Below are 7,453 nucleotides of genomic sequence, written 5' to 3'. Positions count from 1 at the left end.
TGGAGGGCCAAGGGACACCTAGAGGAAAACTGCGTCTCCTGGCCTTGGGAGTTGTTGCCAGAGAGTTCATGAAGGTGCCCACTAGAGATGGATTTGGCTTTTTCATAAGCCAGTTTCATAGGTAGTCAGCACAGGACAGCAGGTAGGAAGTCTCTGTGCCTTTCTGCCTCCTCCTTCTCTATATCTGATCCAGAAGAAACCTAGAGGCAGCCATGATGTGGGAGGGTAGGTCAAGGAGAAGGTGACATAGCAACTTGGAAACAGAAGGCTGAGGATTTCCTTCTGTGCTTCTTGCTGGAGGAAGCAATCAGATGTAATTTCTAAATTGTGACTATGAACTGGCCATAAGGCTTTAATTTTCTCATAGTGATCAAAAAAGTCTTGAGTTTGCCTGACTTTTTATCCAGCTGAGTACATTTCAAGGAACAGAAGAAACAAAAATAAACTTGTATTCTGAGTATCTCACAGGCAAGCTTGTACCATTTACTGGAATCTAGAATGACATTGACCTAGGGACCTTATTTAGAGTGGTAGAGTTCCATTGCCCCAGTTATCCTCAGATGGTGCTATCTAGAGAGACTTAGTGGACTAATGATCCTTTTCCCATTGTCCATTTCTTCATTTCTAAATATGCCGTGTTTGTGCAGAATCAGAGCAACAATGATGTTAAAATGTTTCACTCTTGGTAGGAGTTTGATCAATGATATCTTTCTTTAAAACCATCTTAATTTGAAATGAATTCATAAAATAATAATTTTGATTTGATTACAACCATTTTGAAAGAGAAATAAATTTAGAGTGAAAAGCATATTAAAACCCTTCAACTGTATTCTGATGAAAGGGTTTCTTTCTGCATATCCACAGCAGCTTTTCTACAAGGGCAGGCAGGTAGTGCGACCGTTTTCTCTCTTATTATCACAGCCAGCAATCAGAGCAGCAGGACCTCCTCCCTCTCTCCCTCTCAAAAGAGATGGGAGGGTGGGGCAAAGCTCATCTCCCAGGAGAGCTCCTGACAAAACGGTCTCTATTTTTAATATCCACGAAAGCTATACATTTTCTCAGACGATTCTTAGAATCAAAGGAAAGAGCATATTCTGGCCCACTAGGGTCTTAGAAATTGTCACCTTCTCCTTGGGTGGCTATTGGGGTGACAGTAAACAAGCAACAGATCTTCAACAAAAGCCATTAATAGATGCTGAAGCACTCAAGTACCCCTCCTCACATCCCTCCACCTCCTCACCTGGTGCAGAAACACAGAGACTCAGATGAAGTGAAGCTGTTCTTTCCGAAACGTAGCGACCGATGCCTTCTTACCTCTTGTTAACCCATGAGCTGTGTGAACAATGGGCAAGTAGTTCTCTTTTGAGATTGTAGCTGTGTTGGGTGCAGAAATATGGGTAATATCCACATTAGAATTTTCAGGAGTTACAGAACTGTTGTCCATTTCACTGGATAGAGGAGGATTCTCTGGAGTCGTCAGTGAGGCCGAATTTCCATTCATGATTTCAGGGGACATAGTTGACATTTTTGCCATCATGCTGTGCTGGGCAGAGCCTTGTCACCATGGATCAAAAAAAGATAACAGAGGCTCCTCTGTATCAGAATCTGGAATGACATTGGTCTGGAGGCCTTATTTAGAGTGGCCCCTGCCTCAGTTCTCAGCAGAGACTTATTTCTGTAGTACAAATACCCGGGAACTTAGGCAGGCCGGACAGGTCATGTTCTGTGTGTGAAACGTGTCTGGGTGGTTTTAGTCCAGTATTAAAAACTTAATTTCATCAGCAGTTTGTCAGAATTGACTTTGTTAGGAAAGCACATTTTGGGTGATTACTAATACAGCAAGTATATCTGTCGTTCTCTTTCTCAAATTAAAAAATTTGTTGATATAATACAAGTACAAAGATTCACAAGTCAAGTAGTACTGGAGGGGATTTAATAATAAACAGTTATCTCCTGTTTCACCCTTTCTCACCCCTCAGTTCCACTCCAAAAAGCCAACTATTTCCAAATTAGTAGTGCTTTATTCACCCTGGTATTTATTTCTGTATTTCTAAAGAAATTGCATATGCTTGCTGTTTCTTGATTTATCCACTTTAGTCATTATCTATTGTCTTTTTATTATAGAAGATAAAAATGTGGGAGGTACTTTTTTGAGATCTCACATATTAAAAATGTGTTTTCTAGTATCTCAGTATTAATTTAGGAGTTAAACTTTTGTGCTGGATGTCATCTTTGTTTAGAATTTTTAGGTCTCCTGTTCCAGGTTTCATTCTGATTTCATTTTTTTTTTTTTCCTGCAACTATTCTCCCACCTCTCTAACCCTCAGAACCTTGTAGGATCTTTTCTTTATCCTTGGTTTTATGGACCTTATAGGAATGAGTCTTGGTGAGTCCTTTTTCTTTTATTTGGCTGGAATTTGCTGTGCTGTTTCAACTGGAAAACTTAATTTTATAATTCATTTGATACTTTCTTCTCCTCTATTTCCTCTGTTCTTTTAGTCAGGTATTATAACTTGGGGAGGTAACTTAGATATTGATTCTATGTTTAAAGTTTCTAAGTTTCTTTTCTTTATTTTAAAAATAATTTTATGGGTCCATAGTAAGTGCATATATTTATGGGGTACAATAAATATTTTGATACAGTCATACAATGAGTAAAATGCACTCCAGGTAAATGAGGTACCTATCGCCTCAAGCATTCATCCTTCCCTTGTGTTACACACAATCCAATTATACTCTTTTAGTTATTTTAAACTGTGTCCTGAATTATTGTTGACTGTAGTCACCCTGTTGTGCTACCAAATACTAGATCTTACGTATTCTATCTAACTATATTTTTGTACTCATTAACCATTCCCACTGCACCTCAGCCCCAACTACCCTTCCTAGCCTCTGGTAACCATCCTTCTATTCTCTATCTCCATGAGTTCAATTCTTTTAGTTTTTAAGTCCCACAATTGGATGAGAACCTGTGAAGGTTGTCTTTCTGTGTCTGACTTATTTCACTTAACGTAATGATCTCCAGTTTCATCCACACTGGTAAATGACAGGCTCTCATTCTTTTCTGTGGCTGAATAGTTCTCCATTGTGTATACATAACACATTTTCTTTATCCCTTCATCTGTTGATGGACACCTAGATTGCTTCCAAATCTTGGCTATTGTAAATAGTGCTGCAATGAAATTATGGGAGTGCAGATATCTCCTCAGTATGCTGATTTCCTCTCTTTTGGGAATATCCCTAGCAGTGGGATTGCTGGATCATATGGGAATTCTATTTTTAGTCTTTTGAGGACCTCCATACAGTTTTTCACAGTGGTTGTATTAAGTTACATTCCCACCAACAGGGTGCCATTTTCTCCACATCCTTGGCAGCATTCATGATTGCCTGTCTTTTGGATAAAAGCGATTTTATCCAAAATGGGTGAGATGATATCTCATTGTAGTTTTGATTTGCTCATATAAATGGAGTCATACAGTATTTGTTTTTCTGTGACTGGTTTATTTAGTTAGTTTCACGCCCTCCAGGTTCATCCATATTGTCATATGTTGCAGGATTTCCTTCTTTCTAAAGGCTGAATAATATTCCATTGTTTGCATATACCACATTTTCTTTATTCATCTGTCAATAGGTTGGCTTCACATCTTGTCTATTGTGAACAGTATCACAGTGAACATGGGAGTGCTAATATCTCTTTAAGATCCTGATTTACATTCCTTTGGAGAAATATCAGAAGTGTGATTGCTGTATCCTATGGTAGTTCTAGTTTCAATTTTTTGAGGAATCTCTACACTGTTTAATACAGTGGCTGCATCATTTTGCACCCACACTAACAGTGTACAAAGGTTTTAGTTTCTCTATATCCATATCAACACTTGTTGTTTTGGTTCCATTGATAATAGGCATCCTGACAGGTATGATGTAATATCTTATTGTGATTTCAATTTGTGTTTCCCTGATGATTAGTGACATTGACCATTTAAAAATATATATGTTTACCCATTAATCATATGTACGTTTTCTTTGGAGAAATGTCCATTCAACTTCTTAACCCATTTTTAAATTGAATTATTTGTTATTTCTTTAACTACTGAGTTGTAGGAGTCATAGATTCTTGAACTTAATGAAATTTGTTATTTGATCTTTTTATGTTTGGCAATTCCCATTAAGCAAATCACTTGGCTGAGGTTGTACCTTGGAATAGAACCAAGTAGTTTCAGTTCTAAGTAGCCTTTGAAAACAATATGCTTTTACCTGAAAGTGGTCTGTAAAGATTGTATGGGCCCTTGATAACATGGGTTGGCTACTTACAGAAAAGCAGATGCTTTGGGTGAGATATGCACCTGCCCAGCCTTGTGTTATGTGGCCTTAATATTTTCAGTGTTAAAATCAGTTCTAGGCCAGCAGACATTTCTTCTATCCAAGGATTTTATGCACAGAGAAGCTGCATGGAGGAGTAGAATTCTGGAGGTAACATGATGATTTACCTGTGGAAAAGCGATGCCATATTTCACAAAGGCACCATTCATGGGTAAGAGCTGTAATTTACAGTTTGCAAGCCATTCTTTTTTTTTTTTTTTTTTTGTGGTCTTGCTTTTTCACTCAGGCTGGAGCTCAGTGGCCCAATCATGGCTCACTGCAGCCTCGACCTCTCCAAGTTCAAGCGATCCTCCCACATCAGCCTCCCAAGTAAGCTGACAGGCACATGCTACTGTGTATGGCTAATTTTAATTTTTTAATTTTTTTTGTAGATATTGCTGGGGGGAGGGGTCTCATTATGTTGCCTAGGCTGGTCTTGAACTCCTGGCCTCAACAATTCTCTTGCCTTGGCCTCCAAAGTGCTGGGATTATAGGTGTGCTGTTGGCTTCTTTATTGGTCACCTTTTTACTCAGTTTAATATTATGAATGGTAATGGAATTTAATTAGCCTTAAGTTGTTTGCTTAAGTCACTGCTTCAGTAGAGGAGTCTGGGATGAGTCATTGTAGATATTTCAGGATATAGGTAGGCAGTATTTGTTTCCTGGTCTTTATCATAATCACAAGCCCTTGAAAGAGACTCCTATAATGCACCCATAGGATAAAAATGTAGTGCATAGGTAATCTTAGCGATCAGCACTTTAGACTTATTTATTAGTGCCTCATGTGTGAGAGGAACCATGCTGACTGCTGGGTTAAGCAGGTAATTAATTAAAATGTTATGTTATTTTTCTGCAGTTTGGTATTTATGGTATTTGTTGGGTTTCAAATTTATTTGTTGAAAATTTTTTTATTTTAAATATTCACGTTTGTGCCTAATTTTATATTCATAACTTCTGGTGTTCTTATTTGAAAGAAGTTTCTCCAAATTGAATTACCTAGAGGACCACACAACCTGGACAATCTGAACAACTACTGGCCTAACCCCTTTGGAATGCAGGTGACTTGGGAATAGGGACTTTGCCTACCGTATTTACTACTGTATTGTCAGTGCTTAGTGGAGCACATTGCTTTTCGCAGATTCTCAAACAAGAACATGATTGCTGTTCAGAATTTTTTGCAGCCAACATTGAGCATCTCCCAGAAACACAGCAGCCTCTGGGTGGATGTCCATAGTAGATTGTGTATACCTCATATTGAGTGAGGTGAATACCAGCAGCTTTCAAGAGTCAGTCAAAGGGAATACTGGGAAGCCTGCCTTTGTTTCCCTCCTTACTCTCATTCTTCTTTCCTCAAATACATAGCTTTCCAAAATGTAAGATTTCCTAGTTTTTATTTTTGTGGCTTTGCTCTCTCATTGGTAAGGTATGGATTCAAAATGGCAGTGGCTCATGCCTGTAATTCCAACACTTTGGGCAGCCAGGGCAGATGGATTGCTTGAACCTAGGAGTTTGAGACCAGCCTGGGCCACTCACAAAACATACAAAAAAATTACCTGGGTGTGGTGGCGCATGCCTAAAGTCCCAGCTACTCAGGAGGCTGAGATGGGAGGATTGCTTGAGTTCAGCAGGTCAAGGCTGCAGTGACCTGTGATTGCATCATTGCACTCCAGTCTGGGTGACAGAGTGAGACCCTGTGTCAAAAAAATAAAGAAAAAGAAACAGCATATAAAAGTACCACTGTCTAGGATTTCCAAGGAGATTAAATGGGATAAAGTCTGTGAAGCACTCAGTACAGCGATGGGGAAATCTTAGCTGCCATCATTCTGATCTTATTCCTAGAGCGCTTGTCTCCATAAAGTCATAGTTATTGATGATAATGGTACAAAGTGGGTTTTTATATTTCCACAAGCTCTAGAAAACCCCGATATGAGGTCAGTCACAGGTGGTGGGAAATTCATGTTTAGGTTCCACAGACACCAAGGTACATAATAACAGGCTTCTGCTTAAAGTCTCCAAGCTAGAATCAGTATCATGAATCTTCGGCAGCTGGCCCACCGATATGCGACTCTCTAGAATCTTCAAAAGCAATGCTTAACATTGCTAACATCCAAATTTCCTGGTGTATATTGAAATGAATGTTAGTACTTGAAAATAGGTTTAACACATGATCCAGCTTTCTTTTTACGTGGTCCCTGTTTTTGTCAGAATATATTACATTGAGCCAACAAAGGCAGACAATGTCATTGTCTTAGTCTGTTTTCATGCTGCTATAAAGAACTTCCCTGAGACTGAGTAATTTATAAAGGAAAGAGGCTTAATTGACTCACAGTTCTGCATGGCTAGGGAGGCCTCAGGAAACTTACAATTATGGCAGAAGGGGAAGCAGGCACCTTCCTCACAAGGTGACAGGAGAGAGAAGAGCAAAGAAGGAATTCCAAACACTTATAAAACCATCAGATCTCATGAGAACTCACTCACTATTGTGAGGACAGCATGGGGGAAACCTCCCCCATGATCCAGTCACCTCCCTCACTCAACGCATAGGGATTACAGGTCCCTCCTTCGACATATGGGGATTATAATTTGAGATGAGATTTGGGTGGTGACACACAGCTAAACCATATCAGCAGATCCTTCATAAATATTTATTGAGTCCAAAACCAGAGAGCTAAATGCACCCAAAATTCCTACAACAAAACATGACAGAACCTAAAATAGGATAGAAACACTAATATCAAGTCCTGGAGTTTCCTGGTATTAACAACAAAATAGCCCAAATTTTCTTCTAACTTGAACCACTTGAGAATTGACCTTTAAGACTATGATATAAAATTTAAATGAGATAAACACTGCCATGAAGACAAAGTCACGGAAACGCAGTGATTTGCTAGGAATTAAAGAACTGCAGCTTTGGTGCTACAGGTCTATTCTGTTTTTGTTTTTGTTTCTGTTTTTTCCAGGGAGATATTGAACATCAAACAATGTATCATTCCAGAATGTTGTTTTTACATTTTTTTGGTGTGAAAATTTGACACAAACATGTATTGATTCTGGCTCTAGTGTGTAATAATTACATGGAGAAAAACTGGCCCTC

The 7,453-nt window shown here is 38.8% G+C and overlaps 1 long non-coding RNA gene across 1 annotated transcript; it reads right to left on the bottom strand.

Moving 5' to 3' along the window:
• Nucleotides 1-3,480: 3,480 nt before the first annotated feature.
• LOC124900942 (uncharacterized) lies at nt 3,481-6,050 on the bottom strand. The gene is made up of 2 exons (XR_007058697.1): nt 5,913-6,050; nt 3,481-4,487 (listed from the first exon to the last, which is right to left on the bottom strand). It is a non-coding gene; the product is annotated as an uncharacterized LOC124900942 (long non-coding RNA).
• Nucleotides 6,051-7,453: the final 1,403 nt, after the last annotated feature.

Source organism: Homo sapiens, chromosome 5 (genome assembly GCF_000001405.40).
Source record: "Homo sapiens chromosome 5, GRCh38.p14 Primary Assembly".
Classification (NCBI taxonomy): Eukaryota; Metazoa; Chordata; class Mammalia; order Primates; family Hominidae; genus Homo; species Homo sapiens.
The sequence above is the reverse complement of the archived record's forward strand: the minus strand, read 5'-3'. Positions and strand labels throughout refer to the sequence as shown.